General features: G+C 44.3%; 1 annotated feature.

The window, feature by feature from the left end:
* Positions 205-902: an enhancer, noted in NCBI's record as "NANOG-H3K27ac-H3K4me1 hESC enhancer chr2:23453551-23454248 (GRCh37/hg19 assembly coordinates)". NCBI's record gives its function as "activates a minimal SCP1, AML or CMV promoter by ChIP-STARR-seq in naive H9 embryonic stem cells {active_cell/tissue: H9 hESC(naive)}" and the evidence as "EXISTENCE:reporter gene assay evidence [ECO:0000049][PMID:30033119]".

Here is a 24,259-nt window from a genome sequence, read left to right on the forward strand (position 1 = left end):
TGATCTCAGACTGCTGTGCTAGCAATCAGCGAGACTCCGTGGGCGGGCGTAGGACCCTCCGAGCCAGGTGTGGGATATAGTCTCGTGGTGCGCCGTTTTTTAAGCCGGTCTGAAAAGCGCAATATTCGGGTGGGAGTGACCCGATTTTCCAGGTGCGTCTGTCACCCCTTTCTTTGACTCGGAAAGGGAACTCCCTGACCCCTTGCGCTTCCCAGGTGAGGCAGTGCCTCGCCCTGCTTCGGCTTGCGCACGGTGTGCGCACCCACTGGCCTGCGCCCACTGTCTGGCACTCCCTAGTGAGATGAACCCGGTACCTCAGATGGAAATGCAGAAATCACCTGTCTTCTGCGTCGCTCACGCTGGGAGCTGTAGACCGGAGCTGTTCCTATTCGGCCATCTTGGCTCCTCCCCGCCATTTTTGATTTTGGTATTTTTTTTCTGGGGTCTGTGTATTCAGTGCCCCTGCATTGATCTGTAACTGCCCCCCCGATGCCTGCATTTGCTCAGGATGAAGATCTCAGGATCTGGGCCAATTACCAAGCTGTGAATAACCCCAGTCTCGCCCTCTGCAGGCCAGCAGCCCCCACAAGGTCATCAATTGTCCATCCTGTGTACCCTGGTGCTAGAGGCATTTGCATCCCGTGAAAGGATCATCAGCTCCCTGCAGAGCTCCAAGGATAAGCAACCCTTAAAAAAGACACCATCGAAGCCAGCACAGCACCGCATCCATTGCACCATGAAAGGCAAGATGGGACAGTGTGACGGTGACAAGCAAAGCCAGCTCTGAGTCCTCAGTATGATCAACGCCAAGGAAACAATGCACCAGTCCCCTCCAAAATGAAGTCTCAGGCTGGGTAGTGCATTTCAAATTATTTTCAGCCCAAGCTCTCTTCACACAGAAGCTGCTGATTAGATATTTTTCTGTAGTATGAGAATCATTGCTGAAAATACAGATGACTCTGAGACACTCACTACTGGTATTTTCCAAATAAGACAAAATAGAACCATGAAATAAAACATAGGTCTCAGCTGTTTTCTTCCTGAAGATTGCTCCAGGATCTGATGACTTAGGCAACTGACCATGACGTAGCAGCTTCACGAGAACCTCAGAATGTTCCGTGAAAAAGTTGGGGAGGGTACAATAGAATGAGCTATAATAGAGGGATCCCTAAGCAGTAATCTGCCAAATATGGTGTTTCTGTTCAAATAGTACAGAGAAATCTGTCAAAAACAGATTATCTCACTACAAAATGGTTACAGATTTCAGTGAACAGTAGTTAGAAAGAAGGGATTTTATCCGAAGACAGATTGTGATGTTCATACTGAAATGGACAACGAGGTTGTTATGCATCTGCTCTAGGTATGCCGTCATTACGTAAGGCCCATAGAGATTGGGATAATTTCCACTTCCTGGACCTGGGCACAGGCTGTTCAGATTTAGAGGACAAATCTGCTGCTTGACTCCTGTGAGTGATTTGAGTGGTAGCCCTGGGCCTGCCCGAACCCAAAGTCAGAAAGACATCACTGGATAGATCCTCTAAATGAGGGCAAGTGAGCCATAGCAAAACTCAGCGTGCCTGGTGTCTCCTGGCATCGAAGCTGCTGCTAACAGCCCCGGAGATGGGCCCAGAGTTCAGGGTGCTTCATCTTGCAAACTATTGCCTGGTTTCCTTTCCAGTGGGAGAAGAGTGCGCTTTATTGATCAAAGCAAAGAGTCTATCATGATGGATTCTGAGGGGCCCGTGGAGCAATCAACCCTCCCGGAAGCTAGCAAACATTCTGTTCCATTGCTTGCATCACTGCATGAAGAGCTGCCGGAAAACTGAATCCAACAGAACAAGTCCCATCCAAAGAGAAAGAAGTGATGGACCGGTGCTGGGAGGCACCAGCATGGTAGAGGGGGCCTGGCCTTGAACCCCATCTCCCCTGCTTGTCATCTAGGAGGACTTCAGCAAGTCACTCAACCTCTTCATAATTAGACAAGACTTTTGTACACAGCATTAGACAGGCATTTGGTAAAGCACTATACAACTACAGGAGATAACAATAATTTTCATGTTGGAAACCATCGCAGTCTTGAAACTACAACAGGCTCTTAGGATTTTTCTTTAAACCAGTGGTGCTTAAAGTGTGGTCCTCTCACCAGCCTTACGTAGAAATTGGTTAATAATGCAAATTGTCAAACCCTGAACCCACTGAATCAGAAATCGTGGTGGGGAAAAGAGGGCAGGTGGAGAAATCAGTGTTTAACCAGCCCTGCACTAGCGATATGTCTGAAGTAGGTGTGATTCCATCCCAAGATGACCTCCACTGCCTTCTTTAGCCCACCAGACCCTCCTCAGCCAGGGACAAACAGAGGGGTGACTGAGAATCAGAGAAGAAGGGCCATCCCCTGTACCTGCCTTTGGAGGAGTTCAGGCTAAATGGAAGTAAGAACAGCATGCGTAGAAAATTGGCAAATGATCAGAGGTCACCAGAAAGTGTGCTGATGTACCCTGCAGGGACTGTCACTGCCACAGAGCATGATGGGTAGGGAAGGCGAGCGTGGGTCACCGGGGAAGTTTGTTGGATGTGAAAAGGCAGAGAAGAGGAAGGAGCTCCTGGTGTGTGTTTGGTTGAGGGGCAGGAGGGGTGGGGAGGAGTAGGCATGAAGGCCAAGTAGGAAGCAGGGCAGGTGGGATGAGACACAAGAAAAACCAGCTTACAGGGTCCAAGTAATTCTCGTAAGGGCACCTCTGAGCCTGAAGCTGGTTTTTCTTATTCAGTTCAGATACAGATTCTCTTAAATTAGTAAACTGCACAGGCCCTTCCAAGTTACATACTGTGCTTAATCCTCAAGCCCCCCGAATCTATCTTCTCCCCAATGCCAACCATGTCAGGCCTATAAATAGACAAGCTTCAGGGGAAGGAGTGGCTGAAATTACACGGTTTATTAGGATGATTATATATTATTTATGTAATAATTACATACATGATTATATAACATTATAATCATGTCTGTATTCTAGCTTTATTAACCATAAAATATCATTTTTGTTTTTAAGGCTTTTACAGTTTCTTAAAAGATTTTAATTATCTGTAATTTTATTCAAATACACCCTGAGGTTTTAGGATGAAGGATGCTGCTCTAAAAATCTAAAAAATAAATAAATATTTGGCATCTACTATTATTTCAAGAAATGTAGTCTAATATTAAAAGGTCTGGTTGTCCCAATGCATGGTTGAGAAGGATGCTATCTGGTTTGAAATCATCATGGATGAAATCATTTATTTATTCATTCATTCAACCCTCAAAAATGTGCTGAGTGCCTGCTATATGCCAGGCAATGCACAGGAACACCTTGGGATAGATTTTCTCTGCCACTAGGAGAGACTGAAGGGGACCCCTGGGTTCTAGAGAAGAGCCTGTCGCCAGCTCTCAGCAGGCTTTTGTTTTGTTTTTTTGGTTTTTGGTTTTTTTGTTGCTGTTGAGACAGAGTCTCCAGCTCAGGCTGGAGTGCAATGGCACTATCTCAGTTCACTGCTATCTCCGCCTCCCAGGTTCAAACTATTCTCCTGCCTCAGCCTCCTGAGTAGCTGGGGTTACAGGTACCCGCCACCATGCCCAGCTAATTTTTGTATTTTTAATAGAGATGGGGTAGCGCCATGTTGGCCAGGCTGGTCTCTAATTCCTGTCCTCAAGTGATCTGCCCACCTCAGCCCCTCAAAGCACTGGGGTTACAGGCATGAGACACCATGCCTGGCTTCTGCAGACTTTTTTAAATGTTGCTCTAAACTAAAGGTGTTGGTCAAGGCAGACTGACGCTCTGCTCTCTCTGTGAGCACTGTGTCCATAACAGGTATTCCGATGCGGGTCACTAAAAAGAACATTGAAGGAGAAAAACAGACCAAGAGATTTCCCTCCAGGAACTGTGCAGGGACTGGAGCATAGCCCAGGAGTTCTGAAATGCAGAAGCCAGTGACCTCACACCAGGGACCAGCAATGAAGTCCCCAATGCCTCCTTGGAGTGCTCTTCTCCCTCCGTCACCCCTCACCCATGCACGCCTTACAGCTCTGATGGGCCACTCATCAGCCCATCTAAGCCATAATCCAGACACTGACAAAATAGAAGCACCAAAATACATGTTAGAAAGACTTTGCTGTTTGGAATACTTCAAAAACCATCCACAATTATCTGATAAAGACTATTAAAAACTCCTCTCTTTTAAGCACATGTGTGAGGCCAGATTTTCTTCACATAATTCAAGCAGATATGAGAATCCAGTTTCTTCCATTAAGGCACACATTAAGAGACTTGAAGCAATGCCACTCTTTGCATTACATTTTTGGGTACATATATTTTCATGAAAATATGTAATTTATGTTAATATGCAATGGATTCATTAATGTTTTGAAATAACTTAACAAATATCTTCATGTCTGAAAAAAAAATCATCCAAGTAATCATCATGGGGGAAATGAGAATTTTGCTGGACCTTCTTATACTTGTTTGATGGTTTCATATTGTTTTTTTTTGTTTTGTCTTGTTTTGTTTGAGATGGAGTCTCGCTCTGTCACCCAGGCTGGAGTGCAGTGGCGTGATCTCGGCTCACTGCAAGCTCCGCCTCCTAGCTTCAAGTGATTCTCCTGCCTCAGCATCCCAAGTAGCTGGGACCACAGGCACATGCAACCACACCCAGCTAATTGCTTTTGTATTTTTAGTAGAGACGGGTTTCACTGAGTTAGCCAGGTTGGTCTCGATCTCCTGACCTCGTGATCTGCCTGCTTCGGCCTCCCAAAGTGCTGGAATTACAGGTGGGAGCTATACGCCCAGCCTCATGTTATTTTTAAATTTTGATTACATATCCAGAGCTCCTTTAACTGTTTAGTTTCCTAAAGACTGCGTTAGCAGGAGAAAAAGAACATAATAACCTAATTCACACTTGGATGTTCATGACTATTCCAGCTTAGACCTCTGCCAAGCACAGTTCTACTGAAAAGCAAAGCCTATGCGGTTAGACTTGGGATAGTTGCAGATGACTCATGGCACAGACAGTTTAAATAGGATGGTTCTCAGAACTTCCCTCAAACCATATCTTGGGTGGCAATTGCCTGTTTCATGCACTTGCCAGGGAGAGTGGGAAGGATAGTTGCTCTCATGATTTCTGTGCAGTGGAGGAAGGTTTTTCATATCTACTCAACATAGAAGTTACCCTCCTTCCATCAGAATTCAGGGCCAACTGCAGAGCTCCTGGTTCTTCTGCAGCAAAACAAGAGACCCCGCAAAATAGTAGGGACAAAAGCCATTTTAAAATTCTGCATCAGAGAGCCATGGTAAAGACTTTGAGGGTCACTTCCTGGAGAAAAGGAAACTCGTTTAGTTCTGCCTGAGTAGGAACTGGTGGCGTTGGAGCCAGCCAAATGCAGCTGATAGCAACACAACATAAATATGACCCCGAGAAACCACGTTTGGGACTCAGAATGACTTTTCTGGCACAGACTAGCACAGAACATGGAGCAGCATGAAACACAAAAGAAAATGTGTTCATGATGTAGAAATAAAACCATAGCAGTAAAAGGCGAAGAATAAAGTAAGGCCCTGAGGGAGAGATTTCCCTGGGTCAGGTGTTTCTAAGAGATGCATAAATTTCACTCTAAAAAGAGATTGGAAATTAAAGCAGACCCTAAAATGTGTAGTGAATAGAGTGACCTGTATGTCCTCATGCTTAGGTTAACTGGCCAGCAAACACCACCCAGCTCTTCTTTCGTAGTATGGATATCCTTAATTAATCATTCCATGCCTACCATACCCAGCATGCATTGAAGAGCGAGTTTGGGAATTTTTGCAGATGCAGATCTCAGTGAGGAAAACCCATCTGGTGAAAACAGTCAAGATAATAAAGCCCCACATAGACAGATCAACTCACTTAGTTTTCTCCCAGAATAGGGTCTGAAGAAAGCCTAACTCTGTCTGAAAATGTGTTTCATATTCATACCAGTCCCAGATCTGGAAAGAGGATTGATATTCCAAGGGAAGCCTTACCTTACAAGTTGCCAAAAGATGTTTATCCTAAGAAGACACACAGCACATCCTTCCAGGTCTCTGGCCCCCTCAGGTTTCAAAGATTTGATGCCAGCCCAAGTTCAGCCCATCATCCTCCAGGCCTTCATCTCCCCTCCCCTTCTCTGTGCATCAGATCAGCACCATCTTGTAGAAACTATCTGACAGAAAACAAATGCAAGCCAAGCCACGTATCATTTTAAATTTTCTACTAACTACCCTTAAGATAAGCAAAATAAAATAGGCAAAATTAATTTTAATGGAATATTTTGTTTAACCAAATATACTCAAAATGCTATTATTTCAGCATGTAATCAACATGAAAAATTATTAATCAGATGCTTCACTTTTTCTTTTCTCCTCTTCATTTTTTTTGAGAGAGAGTCTTACTCTGTCACCCAGGCTGGAGTGCAGTGGCATGATCTCAGTTCTCTGCAACCTCCATCTCCTGAGTTCAAGTGATTCTCCTGCCTCAGCCTCCTGAGTAGCTGTGATTACAGGTGCGCACCACCACATCCAGCTAATTTTTGTATTTTTAGTAGAGATGGGGTTTCACCATGTTGGCCAGGCTGGTCTTGAACTCCTGACTTCAAGTGATCCGCCTGCCTCAGTTTCCCAAAGCGCTGAGATTACAGGTGTAAGCCACCACGCCCGGCCTGAGATACTTCACATTTTATTCTTTCTTTTGTACTAAGTCTTTGAGACCCAGTGTGTATATTTTACGGCACTGCACACCTCAGTTGGGACTAGCCACCTTCCATGTGCACAGTAGTTTCGTGCCTACGTGCTCACCATTGGCATTTGCCAGTGCATTTTCCCTGTCAGTCCGAAATGGCCCAGAGAAAGCCAGGCCTCTGTGCCCACAAGACCTGGCCTGGCAGTCAATGTCAGCTCCCCTCCTCGGCCCAGGAGAGGACCTCTCTTCTCATCTTGGCTTTGCTATCTGAGCCACTAGTCTGAGCTCCAGCAAAACAGTTAAATACTTATTTAAAATTTCTGAGAGGCTGTCTTATTTCTTCATGTGAATTAGAAAAGACTATTTTTAAAACCTAGGGGAAAGCAGGTCCTCACCAGTGACCTGTGTGTGCACTTTACACTTAAGAAGCTCTGGCCTCCGGAAGGAGCCCGCATCCCGTCTGGGGAAGGTGGATGTCGAGCCCTCTTTGGGCCAGGCAGCCAGCCACAGGTCAGTGGAGCAGCCCGCTGGAGGGCCAGGAGATAAGAGTGGGTTCCTAGAGGGCTAAGTGGGAAAATGTGCCTGAGACGCTTCTTCAAAAATCGAACCCAGGGTGTGTAGGAAGATCAGAACCTCTTGTACCTGGAAGCAGTGACTAGATAATTCACGAAATGATTTAGTGGCCCCATAACCTCCTCAAAGGGCTCGGAGATTTCACCATTAGCACTTCTGCCTGAAATTGAAGACAGTGCTACCCAGGAGGACTCAGCCCTTACCACCACAGGGTGAAGCAGGAACCGAGTGACAGGTTCTGAAAGAGGAAAATCCGGGAAAGAATGCAAAGTGGCAGACAGGGTGTGGTGGGCCATACTGCCTGGGTCTCTGTTGGTGCCAGACATGGTGCACAGGTCTAGGCAGGCAAGAAAGGAGCCAGGGACTATGGCAGCAATTCAGGCAATGATTAAAGCCATTCTTTGGGATTCTTCAGGCTGTTTCAGGGCAGGTTTAGAACAAATACCCACTTCCACAAGGCCAGCAGTTAATGCCAAATGGCAAAGTCCTAGGGTTATCAATCCATGTATTCACGTGTTCAATAAATGCATATTGAATAGCAAGGTCCCAATTTAACTCCTTAGAAAGCTCATCCATCTCCCCCACGTAACTGTAACTGTGTTTCCTTTTATCTGGAATCCTGAATCTGTGACCCCCTCCCTCTCCCTTCCTTGCTCTTTCTTATCTGGGTTGCTTGAGTGCTCATTGTATGAACAAAGTTCTGTAGGAGGACAGGGCATAGGGCAACAGACTCTTCCAGAGCCGTTGGCCAAGGCTTCTGAGCAATGACATAAAAAGGCAGGTCTTAAAGGTTGAATGGAAATTTGCCATGCAGAAAAATGAGAGAAGAGCATCCCAGGCAAAAGACACAATGGTTGTAAACAACAGAGCAGAGAGAAAGGTCAGCTAGGTGGGATCCAACTGTAAGACCTCACATGCTGCCCCAGGCCAACTCAGAGAACAGACTTGCACAAAGGGTCTCCAGGCTTGTATAGGTTTCTTTCGGCACATGCTGAGCTGGAATGTGTTTGGTCTCTTCTGTAATTTCACTTGCAAACATCTGATTTCACATTTCTTTTTTTCTAAACAGACACAAAAATAATCCCCAAATTTGACATGCCCAGAACTTCCAAACATCCTCAAGTCTGTGAGCTATTCTTACAAACAACATAAGTGACTTCCACATTTTCCACCAACGCAGCTGTAGCACTTTTAATGTTTACAATCCTGTGTCACCCTGGGTCTGAGATGTTCTTCCAATTAAACTCTGGTTACACTTCTCTTTCCAAGTGCGAAAGAATCCAATTAAAGTTAATGAAAGCAATCAGTCTGCAAGTCTCGGGGTGTTCTGCCCCATTTGTGAATACAGGTAATAACACCACTGACCTCATGGAGAGAGGAGGCACCATCGTTCTCTGCAAATGAGCCAGACCTGAGCCATCCAGGGAAACCTGGAATTTAGGAGGTCACCCTATTTGGGTTCCCCCACAATGCTCAGGATCCCATTAAGCATTAGCTGTGGGAGCCTGTCCTCTAAGGAGCTTCAGACTCATTTGGCTGCCATATGGCTTGAGCTTAGCAGTGCTTCTTTTCCCATAAGCCTGAAATCCTGGGTCACTCTATGCTTATTTTCAGGAAGTCATTCATTGCACTATCCTAGATTTCCTAACTGGCTTCAATGAGGCAGCTCTTATCCCCCAAAGAATAACACCATTAGCGCACCACCAGGCCCTGAGGTTGAATGAGCTCAAGTTCTCTGAGTTCACCTGACCTCTCCAGCCCTCGATGTTAAATCTCAAGGAACCAGGGGAACCTCGTGGGGCTCTGCTCAGAGGTTCAACCTAGGACCCTTCAGGAAGCATCCGCGAGGCTCACATCCCCATCATATTGGTAGCTCCCCGGACACATCCCTCAGATGTATGCATAAGTCAGGAGCGAGACTCACCATCATTCATTCCCAAGAGGGCCTGTTTTCCCCGAGCCTCTCTTCCTGCCCTGTTGAGTTGAATAACCTCACACTCCTCTAAGTAGCGTTGGCTCTTCACTATTCTGCACCTATGTGAAGGCTGACTCTTGACAGTCGTTTCTTGGCAGAATCGTGCCATTTTGACCTTAAGAAAATTGTCCCATCATTTCTGTTTCCTTGTAACACTGCCCTTAGACGTGAGAATCTGACACCAGTGAATGAGCCCAGCCCTGTTCTCGGGGAGCTTCCGCTCTGGCTGGGGAAACAGAGCTGACACTGAGAGCAGCTGGAACTGAACGAGGCAGTAAATAATTAAGTGCTACTCAATTACATAAATGATTAATTATAACTAATTGCTACTTAAATGAACTGCTCTAGTCCACATTGATCTCCTCGGCTCTGCCCTCCTCGAGCAGTAGCCACGGTCTGAGCCACTCACTGGGGCTTTCACACGTTGTCTGGAACCCTGTCTATCCTCTCATGTGTGAGCCTCCCCTCTCCTGACTGCCAGTGCCCCCAAGGGCAGTGCCAGGTCTTTTCCAGCTAATGACAGGCCCTGGTCTCTTGCTCCTCTAGCTCTCACAGCAGAATCAGCCCATTCAAAGCATAAGACTCCTTCCATAATGAATACTTGCCTAGTAAGGTCAAAAACATGGACCAGTGTTCACGTAGACTATGTGCCCCAGCTTCTTGTGCCTATGAGTATAAACTAGCGTCTCGCAATTATAATCGATTTTGCTTCAGGAGCTCCCGTAGTATGTCACTAGATATCTCTAGGAGCCTCTGGGAATGGCACCATGTGTGCTCTTCCATTCCTCAACCCTGTACTGTTGAGCCACCAAGATGGCGCTTCTACAGTCCATGTCACTGGCCACACTGCCCTACTGGGTCTGTCCTATGGCCTCCACTCTGACGGCTCCTGCAAGATCCTCCCTTCCCTCGTGCTTTGTTTGACAGATGATAGAAGGAAGAGCAAGCCAGGGAGTTGCCCACCTCCCTAAGCCTGCCTGTATTTCTTTAGGGTTCGAATCCCCCACTAGGCGCTAAGCAACTTGAGAAGTCTTCACTCATCACCAGGTCACCAGATGCTGGAAGAGACCACTGCATTCACTTGCTGTGGCTGCCATAACAAAATCCCACTGACTGGGTGGCTTAAACAACAGAAATGTATTTTCTCCCAATTCCGGGAGGGAGAAGTTCAAGGTCAAGATGTCAGGAGGTTTGATTTCATTCTGAAGCCCCTTCTGGACTTGTACATGGCCACTTTCCTGCTGTGTCTTCCCATGGTCTTTTCTCTGTGTTTGTCTCTGTCCTAATCTCTTCTTCTTATAAAGATGCCTGTCATACTGGATTAGGGCCTACCTAGATTATGTAATTTTACATTAATTACCTCTTTAAAAGCCTTATCTCCAAATACAGTCACATTCTGAGGTGCTGGGGGTTAGTCAGGACTTCAACATATGAGTTTTAGGAGGAGCACTACAGCCCACTCCAACCACTAGTAGTCTACATGCTTAATAAATGTGTGGGCTTGGTGGAATGGTGGGATGGGCAGGCAGCCAGATGGTTGGACTCAAAAACAGAACAGCTGCTAAACAGGTGTTGGCTGGAGACAGAGCAGAAGGTGGGATGAGAGGCTTGGGAGAGCCTCGCCCAGTCTGGGTCTTTCATACTCAGCCACACCCTCTCCTTTCTCCCTGAAAGGGGCCTGCTTTTTAGGATGACAATTCCCTTTGTTTCCTTCACAGCCCAAGAACAGAAACACAGTGCTGGTAAGGCCTGGAGAGCAATGATAAGGAATGTGCCACCTGAGACTTGCCGTCCCCGCACGAGCCACCCTCTGGGGACGGCCCTGCTCTCTTTGGAGGAGAGAGAAGACAGGTAAGCACTGAATGCTGCCCAGGCCGGTTTCCCAGTGACTCCAGGAAATTCTCTCTAACCCAACACTGAGAAGCAGACTTTGTGAATAACAAACATCTGCAAGGGACACAAAGCCCCCCAAACCAGAGCCTGTTTCTCTCCCTGTGCAGCGGACTCACTGCTGTCATAGAACAGGCACCGCACTCCCAGTGGCAGGAGAGGCCCATAATTATGGTGGGACTGAGAGATCGCTCAGGGTCAGCAAAACAGAGGGGAGGAAATTGCTGCACAGATTGGCTCAAATATCAGACTCAACGAAAAAGAAAACACAATTTGTTCATTTGGAAAATGACTCTAGAGACGTGAATGCCCCAGGCATTGTCGCAATACCAGGGAAACAGCGACAGCCTGCAGAGCTAGGGGGTTCCCTGGGGGAGCAAAGGCCACATGCTCCTTTGAGACAGGAGAGCGGCTTGATGGGCCAATAGCAGAGGTAACCTTCTCTTGTGTTCGTGAGTGCAGGCATTCATGAGCCATGAGTCAGCTGGGCTCGCCAGCATCTTTGAGGGTACAAGACTCTGGCCTGAGCTCCCAGAACAATGGACACTGCAGGGCACAGCACAACACTTCCAGGGCGCAGGGCCCTTGGAAGGACAGCAGGTGGGACATTGGGGGTGTGTACAATGGCCACTTCTGCATCTGTCAACTCCAGAACCCATCTTGCAAGCCTCTTTCCCACCATTTCCTCCTCTGTTGTAGTGACCCAGGACAGAGGACAGGGGCAGCATTGGCCGTGGGTAGACAGAGGCCTGAATGCTGTGGGCCAGCATCATACTAGGTGGCTTCTGGGTCAGGTGACCACCCACCTGGTTTGCCCAGGATGGCCCAGGTTCACACCTATGGTCCCAGCATGATCATCAACATCCAAAGTATCCCCATTTGAATACTAAATTAAACAGATGTCCTAATTCTCTTGAATATTACAGTACACGATCCCCACCCTCCCACGCCTTTTAGTCATGACATTTATGATGGGTCCAAGCTCTGCCTGGAAAAGGGACAGTGGGTCGGGGCCTCTACACAGGGCAGGTGGGTTCTCCCCTTAGGAATTATGAACATAGGGCTGACTAGAGGATCGGTGTGTGCCTGGAGACATCACTCAGCCCAGGTGGCTGCTCCAACCAAGCCCACACTGAGCACACTGTGCTGTTGTCTCAGTGGTCTGGGAGCCCACTGACCATTGCAGCCCCCCGAGGTAAGGCCTGGCTGAATTCCTGCAGATGAGCTGCCCCCAACCTTCTCCTGCTCCTGTATCTTTGCCTGAAAGCCCCATCTTGAAATGTCCTGCAGACAGGGCTCTACCTTCACATCCTGCCTAGGGTGATGCTAGATCCATCCTCAGACAGAGACAAATAGCTATTTCCCAACTATAGCTGGGAGGTTTGTCATCATTAGGGGCTGGCAAAAAGCAGGGAACAGGGGATGGCTCTGTGATTGAGTGACAGAAGTTGGAACTTGAAGAGTAGGGAAGTTTTAGGTCTTTGAGGGGGTGTGCAGCAGGAAGAAAGACATGAGAGCATTGTGGCCCCAATGTGGGAAAGTCACCTGGACAGGCACTGTGGGTCAGGCCCTGAACCCATTCTGAGAGGCCCAGGATGCCTGGCACTCACTGTCACCCTGCCTCGGATCCTGCTAGCCACACCATTTCATCTAATGACACTGCCTGGGATTTAATGGACTCTTAAACATAATGCTGCTATTGTGGACAAAGTTTAGTTTTAGCTAATGAAGTCATTGTAAGTTGAAATAAAGAGCAGAGATTGAAATGCTCACAATCATTCAGTGAAATGGAATGACTTCATAGTCGGCACAAAACATGGGACGCTCTCTCCTGGTCTCCCCCCAGGGGTTTCTGGCCAGGCTGTTGGTGAGGGTGGGTGGGTTTGGCAGATCCGGGGAGGCACAGGCCTTCTGTGCTCATTCACATGATCTCATGGTTTCCACTGCTTTCTGTTTGCACAGGAGCCGTCTCTGTGTTTATGGCCTTTAAAATTCCAATTTTTATTCTCATTATTCTAGTTTTGTTTGTGAAAGTTCGCTTAGCAGCTCTAAGCATGAAGTTACGTAAAGAGAGGAGTATTTCCTTTGACCACCTGGAGAAAGCACTAGAAAGTAGGTAATACCTACCACTTTAGAAATAGAAAGCAAATATGAAGGATTTTTTTTAATCCCAGCAGTTATTTAAAAGATAAACAGTAAATACAAGTGGAATTATACCAACTAACCATACTACCAGCAGTCAATTGCTGTAGAATAAACATCCTTATTTCCAGGGTGTTCTAATATATTCGAAGACATGGAGAATGGCACCAAAAGAATTTATCACTGACAATTGCTAAATTAGATATTCCCGAGGTTTGCCTATATGGATGACAACATTTTTAGCACTTCAAGGTCCTTGGAAGAAAAACTCTGTATAAAAATTCAGGACGATATTGTTATCATCAACATGTTAAAATTGACTGAGATTGTTACAGCAGTTTTAAAATCAAACAGACCTAAAAAGAAGGGGAAAATTACATGTGTACTCTATATTTGGATTTTTATACATGAGATTTAACACATAATGTTGTGATGTTTGTTTCAGATAAATTCCTTTTTACCAAAGGTGTTTCTTCTGAGCCAATCAATGCATAGCTTAGCAGGACCCATCAACCAAATAATATCCATTAACAACACTCCAATTAGCCAGGGCACCATATTTGACAGTTCAGTTCTCAACCTGTTCAACCATTCATTCCATTTTGGCTGCTGTCCTAATTAATGACTAATCTATAAAAAGGAGATAATAATACATACCTTATACATGCCACACACACATAATTATAAGAACAGAACCAGATTACACACACGGTGGCACCTGGTGTGGGAGGTGCTTCGTAAACATTTGGATTTTCTGTTTCTTTTTTTTCCTAATATTCTGTAAACTCTTATTATCTTTACTCTTGCATTTCCAAGGCTATTTAGAAATAAATAATAACAAAATTTAAAAATCCTTTTGTATAGTAAAATCGCCTAATATGGATATTTTCCAAAAACAAGTCAAAGGAATCAGAGGCCTCTGTAGCAATTTGAGGCTCTTTGGCTGGGATCCCTATTCCTCAGTGGCTCAAGACCAAATTTCCACTATCAACACCATCCATCTTTATCCCAGAGCACAATTGGAGACTAAAGTCTAGAAATGGACTGAATTACAAACATTTTTAAACTATGTCACCAGAAATGTATCTGTACTCTTGCATCACTTTTGTTCCTCTCCCTACATTGGATATTCAATAACCCACTTTTAGACTGTTTTCAAAATATACAATGCTCCCAAACCTTCTCCCAGCAACAGTTTGGTCTTTCAGATCATTGGTTTCCCAGTCTTTCTCTCCTCTCCCTTCCCCTCTACCCTCAGCAGGATTTATTGCTCTACTAAGTCTTTACTAAAACTATGTAAAATGTTTTAAAGTCAGCTGCAACCTCCAGAATTCACAAACAATACATTCCTTAGGACAAGGGCCGTGACTTGCATTTGTTTAAAATCTTCTCTATCTGCTGTCATAGCTAGTTCTCAATGATCTTTGAATGAAGCTTAATCTTTTTGAATGCAAAGCTGGCAACAGATATTAACGATGCTGTGATTTGGGCTCTGGACATTATGTGGGTGTCTCAAGTTGAGCCTGCTTTCTGAAAGATGGGCCTTATCCAGACCCTCTCAGCTTTAGACACACTTGGCCCTTCCTGGATGCCATAAGCAAACATGAACCTGGTCAAGGGATATGTAGCTTCAGCCAATGACCCAGCCCTGCAATGGTCAACAATGGCTGTTAAGAGGGGCAACCTGAAATTTGTAAACCTACTATACAGCATAAATAAAAGCTTTAACCTTGTTTCTTGGTGATAAATTTTTCCCACTTTTTATGTGTTTATACTTGCCCTGTATATTTGTGTGTACATATGTGCATACCAACTCATTCACCTAACACTTTATGGATGCATGAAATCAGATTATATGTAATTTTTCACTATTTTATTATACATAATATCAGAAATAAAGCGCAGCCGTGGCCTTATAATGAAATGCAATGAAACATATCAGAATGCAGCTATAATCGGCAAAGCCCATTTCAGTTACCATAGCAGGACACAAGGGGATTTGAATCATGAGTAAATGTTCTGATCTGCGGGTAATTCCTAACCACAGTTTAAGTTTAAGCAACCCCATAACTTTGGCTTTCTTTAGCAGAGGACCTACAATGCATTAAAATAAAGAACCTCATCCTGGTTTTTCTCCTCTAGGGTATCTCTTCATGTGAGGAGACATCATATGTTCAGACCCACGAAAAGTACTTGAATTAGATTCCTGTGATCGTTTTTATGGGTTGAGGCCATACGTGCCTTCTAAGAGGCCAAACTTTCTCCCAGCAGAAACTTGGGCCCTGGCTGGGATCACTAAAGCGTGTTCTTGTCTTTGACCTCTTCCATCTTTCATGTTGGGTTGTTCGTCCCACCTGCATGGAATATAAACTTCTCTGTATGCTGTGAATACCTAATCCAGAGTCTAGCATCTACTTTTGAAACTTTCATTTAGAAAGCAGAACCTTTCAACAGAAAAGAGAACCCACAAATATCAGACACCTCACCACCCAGCACTTCACCTAGACTCCCAATTCTAAGTTGTGCCTATTTTAGTACTAAAGCAACATGTGACTTGCTGTGATGAAAAATTAGAACAGGAGAAATAAATATCTCCATTAAGATTTTGTGAGTCTTAAATATTACAACCTGTAATATTACAATTGCCTTTGGTGATCACTCCAGTCAACTCCTGTCATTTCATAAATGAGGACACTAACGTGTAAGAGTTTATGCCAGTCACAGTGGCTCATGCCTATAATCCCAGCACTTTGGGAGGCCAATGCAGGAGGATTGCTTGAGCCCAGGAGTTCAAGACCAGCCTGGGCAACATGGCAAAACCCCGTATCTCCAAAAAAAAAAAAAATTAGCTGGGCATGGTGGTGCATGCCTATAGTCCCAGCTACTTGGGAGGCTGAGGTAGGAGGATCATTTGAGCCCAGAAGGTTGAGGCTGTAGTGAACTAATATCACAGAACTGCACTCTAGCCTGGGTGACAGAGCCAGATCCTGTCTCAAAAAAAGAAAAAAAAAAAGAGTTTAAAGACGAGCTGAGGGTCCCACTCAGTGAGTACCAAGCAGGAGCCAGGTGTCTGCTCCAGTCCCTGTCTTATGACTTTTCACCATGACGTCTTCCACCCCTACTCCAGCCCCAATGCCAATCACCCACTTAATCAATATATGCTCAAACCTCTAATGTGCCAAAGTGATTGTTCAACACGAGTCTGCTCGCCGCTTTGCTCAATTAACTTCCCACCTCCCTTGATAATCAGACCCATGTTAGAATTCTATGGTGTTAACAGTTTTATAAACTAATGCCTTTGTTAGGTCCTTCAAAATAGGTGCTGGCAAAATAAACATAACCCTCTACATTGTACAGCCCTCTGCATTTTACAAAACACGATCATGGACATTATCTCACTTGATCAAGTAAGTCAATAAAAGGTTTATTTGTTTGGAGAGAGAGCAAGAGGCAGAGAAAGCTAAACAGCAGAAGTGTCCATCAGAAAAAAAGAAAAAGAGATTTAAAATATAGGTGGGGACTCAACGAAAACGTAGTTTTTCCTTCTCAAGCTGGGAGCTGAAAAGCCCCCAGTCACTTCCCCATGGTGATCTCTTTTTCTGAGGAGCTCAAGCCTGAGAATCTGCCTGAAACAGAAATCACTGACCTCTCCTCCAGGCACTGACCTCCGAGTCTGTAGAGTTCCCAGGGCTGGAGTTAGCAAACTGTGCTCCCAGGAATCCTGCAATGCTTCCAGGGAGGGCTGGGCAGGGCAGGGGTGCTGTATTTGTACAAAAAGTAATGACTTTTGATGACAGAGACTGGAATCCTAGGAGAGGTCTCCACTGGCCAGGAGCCAGATCCAGCCTCTTGTAACCCAAGGAACTCATTGCTCTCTTAGGGCTAGTTGGAGCTCATGGATCTGAAGGTCAAGGTATCTTTTGTTCATTATGATAAAAACGTATTTATGATGTCAGGGAAAAATTATGACACCCCAAATCCCACTATCTACTCATGTCAAATTTACATTTCTCCATCATCTCTGGCCCTCTTTATCTTCACATCCACATTTTTTACAGCTATAAGAAGGTTCTATGTAAATTGTATATCCTTTTTTCTATGGTATTACGTTTGGTATTTTTTCCAAGTATTTACTGTTCTGTCATAATGGTCTCTTCATTTTTATAATCTTCTTAGTGTAAGGTGAAAAGGTCAGGTTATCCCTAAATTTGTAAATAAAAGGGACTTGTAGGTATAAAATTAATGAGTCATTTTACCAGGGAAGGGCTAATTCTGCCATGGAAGGAAGCCATGGTCACATTTGTTGAATGGAGCCTGAGATGCTGGAGACCCCAACATAACTGGGTAGCCTCAGGAACTTCAAAGATCCAGAATGCAGATCAGTGCCTGTGGGAGAGAGGCATGGCATCTGGGGACATGGACATCTGGCCACCAGGGAGGGGCCTTCCTCTATGAGCTGGGAACAGTTCAACAGACTCCTCCAGGACCCAGATGAAGTATCCACCTCAGCCCTCATGCACTGCAGTCACCATCTGAGAGTTTGCCACTGCAAATATGTGATCTGGCCTATACTCACACAAAAGTGTCACATGGGCAAAGTCAGTGTCTTCACCCCTGAGGACCTGGCCACCTCTGGGCATTAAGACGTCACTGAGTTTCAGGGCACACAGAGAAGAACAACAGTGACCGCATCAAGTTGTGTGATGTCAAGGGCAGGATGGCCTTCCCTCTAGGGCTTGGCCTTCTCTCCCTGTAACATGTAGCACTCCGTGGAGTAATCTAACCAGAATATGGTTATGGTTTCCCAGGGCTGGGTATCTTGCTCGTTCATTGCTTTATGGTCTTCTAAATAAGACTGTCATCAATACCCTTGTGCCTTTGGCTTTTGTATCTGAGGGATGGTTAGGACAGTGGATGGTGATATCCCCACATCTCAGGGGCTTTTTCCTCACAAGGCTGAAAAAATCCAGGATGGTGATTTACAGTGTGCCAGAGGAATCTAGGAGTGAGTACAGAGCAGTTTCATTTTTGTGGAGGTCATAGGAATTCCATGGGCAGTACCTTTGATACCATGGGCATGGCACCAGCTTCCCTGCCTAGGGTATCATTGATCTGAACTCCTCCCTCCCCTATCCTCAGACAGGCCTGGGCCTAGCCCAGAAGAAAACATAAGCTGCTCTAGACCTACACCCTGGAAACGTCCTTCTCATCATCAAATTCCCATCCCCTATTAAATTTAAATTATGTATTTTTTGCTTTCCCTCCAGATAACATTGTCTTCTTCAATATGAAATTAGATTGAGGTAAGAGAAATGATTGCTGAGTTGTTTGAATTTTAATCATTAGACTCAAAGAAATGGTGACTCAACTAACTCTTCATTAAAAGTCCTATATTTCATCCAAGATAGAACATACCAGAATAAAAAGTTTTGGGGCACTTTTTATGGCGCATGTTCTTAAAACACTGTAAAATCCAATGACATTTATTTTCCTAAGTATATTTCACCTTTTAATAAGATTTAAACTAATCTGGCTGATTGTCTCAAAGAAAAAGCCATCCTTTCATATATCAGAGGCCAGCAGCCCGTGACCAGCCTGCCAAAGTTGACCCGCATGGGGATTCGGAGGGATGCCAGGGAACTCATACTGCATTGATTTTCCTAACTTGACTCTCAGCATTACTAAGGACTTTGGCCTGGACTCACAGCTCTGGCTCTTTCTTCTCCTGGCTCACTCACAGAAGAACCTGGAGTCCCAGAGGACCAACTCTCTGTCCACAACCGCCTTGGCTGGAGACTGAACCACGCCTGTCCTGGCCCAAGGGAGGGTTTGGTCAATGTGTACTTACAAGGTAACCTATCCAAAATGGAATGCATTGTCTCCTCATCCCCTACCCACACACACACTTATGCAACACATACACACTCACTCCTACATTCTCTAGCTCAATGAAAAGTGTCACTATTCTCCTAGTTACTCAAACCAAAACCTGGATAATTCAGACTTTTCCCTCCTCTGTTCTCCAATAACCATGACCTCAAAGAACTATGTATTCTAACCCATCAAAGCCTTCTTCTCTACTCCATGGCCAGAATTCTCATTGTCTCTCATCTGAACTATTGCAGTATCAGACATGCTATAACCAAAGCAAGGGGATTCCAAAATACCTTTAAATTCAATCCGTCCAGTAATGAGTGAGTGCCCTGTGCTGAGTTGCAGGGAACACTCCTGACCTTGAGTAGTTCACAGTTTCCTTAGATATGTGCTACCTGACCATGCAGAAATGAGAGAAGGAAGCAGCGTAATGATAAAGTGACAACCAAATATAATAGCATCCCCAAATGAGTTCTCTGGAAGGGAAAAGACTAATGGGGCAGAAGTTATCAGGAAGGCTTCCTGGAAGAAGCAGGAATTTGAGCTACGCTGCCAAGACTGTGTAAAACTTGAATCTGTGAAGTAAAAGGAACAGTGGAGAAAAGTCTTAAGAGCCAGAAGAACTCTTGGCAATACAGAGACAGAGGAGAGTAGGCTCTGTGTTGGGGGTGGTAAAAAATGGGGAAAAGCGGGAAGTAGGTGCTTCTGAACAGATCAAAGACCAGGGAGCTAAAGTTCCTGGAGGAGGGGAGAATGAGTGTGGCCTCCCACATGCTGAGTTTGGAAAAGGCAAAATGGGTGAGTAGCCAGTAAAATTCACCCTGAAATTAAAACGACTGCTTCTGGCTAAACCACCTCTTTGGCCAAGGCTCCAGTGTCTTGCCTAGTCTGCTGCCAGCCTGTCCAGTCTGCTGCCAGCCTGTCCAGTCTGCCAGGATGAGTGTCGGGGCAGGCTGTTCTGTTCCCAATCAGTAGCCAATTTCTCCCAGGACTCAAAAAAGCATCCACTTAAGCTCTGAAGTCTGCAAGTTCCAAGGTCAATGTGTGCCACATTGGATAGTATGTGGGGTTAACAGTGGGGAGTTCAGGAAGGAACTCCCAATATAAAAGCTCTTTATTCTCTTAGGAGAGGAAAGCATGCTTCCCCCTGCTCAGGGAAGCTGCACATCCCTTCTGACTTGGAAACCAGCTATCTAGGCCCATGGCATTCAAGTCAGTATCCGAGCAATCGCAGAGGGACATTGAGAATGTACTTCCTGGAGCCTGGAGATGATGAGCCAATGATAGAGGCCGGGCCTGTTTTTCAAGAGCAGGTGCACACTTGTGTCTTCTGACCCACTGGGCAAATAAACCCATGGGGCAGCACCACTGGCCTCCAGAGTCATGTGCACACCTTTAAGCCGGAGAGGGAACAGTCGAGGCAGCTGTGGCCAGAGGCTGAATCAACAAGGGGAAAGGAGGAACAAGCAAGCTCAGGCCAAGGAATTGGGGCTTGCAACTACTCCCCTAGTCTTCGACAGGACAGAGGAACCATGGCTAGCCCTTGGGTTACCTATATTCTAAGACCTGCTGTGACATTTGCTGGCTCTTGTATTCAAGGAAGCTGCCTATCCAGCATCGGCCTCCACACACTTCCCTGTGAAAGAGATAATAGACCTGCTCTCCCCACGACCGTCACCACTGCTCAGGGTTTGCTGATGAATGAGCCAATACCTAAGGAAGCAATTATTTTGCTGTGTGATCCTACACTCACATGACATCTTGTTATTACTATCTGTGCTCAACATGGCCCCGGCCACAGAATGAGGAACGTGATCATGTAGAATCTGGCACTGCCCTCCAGAAGTTCATAACCAGACTTGAAAGAGAGAAACATCACCCACGGACCATCATTTCACTGGCTGAAGTGATACTATCCAGGCTACTGTGTGCTGCAGGAGCTCAGAAAGATGGTGGTGGGTATAACCAGAGAAGATCGCTCAAAAGAGTTTGAACATAAGCTGGACCACAAAGGATAGAGTAAATGTGGAAAGATGGAAAAGAAAAAAAGAAACCTACAAACACCAGATATGTAGCCCAAAAGCCCAGCTTCTATAACTTGTTCATGGCTACCGTACATAGAAGCACCCAGGACTGCAATCCCTTTTGTATACAAGTTTCTTTTCTTTCTGAGCCAAGTCAAGAAACCTGAAAACTATAAGGCAGGAAAAAAGAAGAAGATTAAGATTATCCATGATTTCATCACTCGGGATGACCAGTGTTATTGTACTATTTATCTTAAAAGTGTTTTTCAAATATTTTTCTACAACATCATTTTTAAATGCTTGCATACATTTTATACATAAATGTAAACTAGTTAACTAATTCCTCTATTGCTGGAATTTTAAGATGTCTCTAAATGATATAAACAATATTTCAAATTTTGTGATTGGGAATGTGGATTCTAGAATATGAGTGTCAAGGTCCAAGTTTTGTCTCCACTGTTTGTTAGGTGAATTGCATAAACTCTATAAACTCAGTTTCCTACTTTAAAAAACAGAAGTGTGTCAGTGACAGTGGTGTATGCCTGTAGTCCTAGCTATTCTAGAGGCAGAGGGGAGAGGATCACTTGAGTCCAGGAGTTTAAAGCTGTAGTGTGCCATGATCTCACCTGTGAATAGCCACTGCACTCCAGCCTAGACAACACAGTGAGACCTCATCTCTAAAAAAGAAAATAGGGGGCTAGGCGTGGTGGCTTACGCCTGTAATCCCAGCACTTTGGGAGGCTGAGGCAGGTGGATCACGAGGTCAGGAGTTCGAGACCAGCCTGGCCAACATGGTGAAACCCCGTCTCTACCAAAAATACAAAAATTAGCTGGGTGTGGAGGTGCATGCCTATAATCCCAGCTACTCAGGAGGCTGAGGCAGGAGAATCGCTTGAACCCGGGAGGCGGTGGTTGCAGTGAGCAAAGATAGCGCCATTGCACTCCAGCCTGGGTGACAGGGTGAGACTCTGTCTCAAAAAAAAAAAAAAAAAAAAAGCGGTGGAAATAGCACCTAACACACAACATTGATTATTTTAGACACTTTATTCAGACATATCATGCAAAACACTTAACAAAGTTCCCACTGCATGATAGGAACCTAAAAAGCAACTATTATTCTCATCATCATTATACCTATATCTTATCTTTCAGTACATCTAAGATTATATTATTAGGGTAATCTGTCCACATTAAAGTTTTTTTAATGCATTTCTAAATTGCAGACCAAAAATATGTACTTGGATTGGAATGCTTCTAATCAAGATGGATTAACAGGAACTAGATTTACCCTACCACCAGAAACAAACAATCTGTAAGAATATATAAAACTACAATTTTCATATATTGCATATAGGAAGCACAGGACAACGACCCTTGAGAAAAGTAAAATAAATTAGATGAGTCCTATGATGACCCCAGCTTACTGCGGGGAGTTATCAGATGACAGCAGAAGAAAAAAGAACCCAGACAGAGCTCAGCATGCTACCTGAGCTGAAGAAACAAAGTTGGTAAACAAAGCTTGGTCCAGGAAGACCAAAGAAACTAAAATTTATAGGACACAGTACTGGAGAGGAAAGAACTACACAGAAAAAGAGCTCTGGAGTTGTGTAGAGTGCCCCTGCAAAGTCTTCAACCAAGTATAGATCAGACATGTATGTGAGAAGACTACCCAAGGCCAGGGAAAGAACTGTCCAAAAGGAACAGGAAGAACAATCCGAGAAACTCTCACAAACTTAGAAAGACTTTGCGTTTCTACCAGCCCTAGAAGAAAACTTTATAATTAGTGGTGCACTGGGTAGAGAATCAGAATGATATTTGCCTTATTTGTGGGTCAAAATTAGCTCTAGATTAAAGCCTATACTGGAGCCAACTGAAAAAGCTTTTTAAAAAGCCTAAATGAGCAAACCATTTCCAAGTAACTTTACTGTGTCCTTGAACTTTAAATTTTGTATAGGAATATAAATATGGACAGCACCCAACAAGGTAAAATAAACAATGTTGACAACAAATCAAAAACTATCAGACATGGGGAGAATACAACCCACATAAGGGGGACCCATGAACTAAGAAGACATACCCAGAAATGGCACAAATGATAGAACTAGCAACCAAGGATGTTAAAACAATTACTTTAACCATATCACATATGCTCAAGAAGGCATAGGAAAGATTATGCATAAGTAGAGCCATGGAAGATGTTTATAAGACTGAAAGTGAACTCCCACAGATGAAAAACACAATTTATGAAATGAAAAAAAAATACCAGATAGCATTAACAGGAGATTAGAAATTGCAGAAGAAACGATTATGGAACTTGAAAATAAGCAATAGAAACCAACCAAAATGAAACAAAGAGGGAAAAATCTGAAAAAAAAAAGAAGAGAACTCATTTTATAAAACTTCAAGTAGCCTAATATGTGTTGAATCACAAAATGAAAAGATATAGGTCAGTGGAGTCAGAAAAAAAATTGAAAAATAATACCTCCAAATTTTCCAAATTGACAAAACTATAAACCTATAGATCCAAGAAGATCAACAAAGACCAAACACAAAAAGAGTAAAGAAAACTAGACCAAAACCATCTTTATCAAGTTATTTAAAACCAATAAGAAATGAAAGCTTTGAAAGCATTCAGAGAATACACATTATATACAGAAGAACAAGCATAGGATAATGGCAGACTTCTCATTGAGAAAAAGGCAAGCCAGAAGACAATGTTAAAGCATCTTTAAGTACTGAAAGTAGGTCAACCTAGAATTCTATAAACAGTGAAAAAACATTCTTCAAAAATGAAAACAAAGTAAAGATTTTCTAAGACAAGCAAAAGCTGAAAGAATTCATCACCAACAAAACTTTAGTACAAGAAATGTTGAAGAAAGTCCTTTAAGCAGAAGGAAAATTATACTAGGCATAAAAACCAATGCCTACACAAAGGAATAAAGACCGTGCTAAAATGGTAAATTTAGAAGTAAACTTTTAAAAAACCTCTTTATATCTCATTAAAAATAACTGACTATTAAGGCAATAACAATAACACTCTATTGTGAGATTTATAACATATTTA

The sequence above is a fragment of the Homo sapiens genome, chromosome 2 (assembly GCF_000001405.40).
Source record: "Homo sapiens chromosome 2, GRCh38.p14 Primary Assembly".
Classification (NCBI taxonomy): Eukaryota; Metazoa; Chordata; class Mammalia; order Primates; family Hominidae; genus Homo; species Homo sapiens.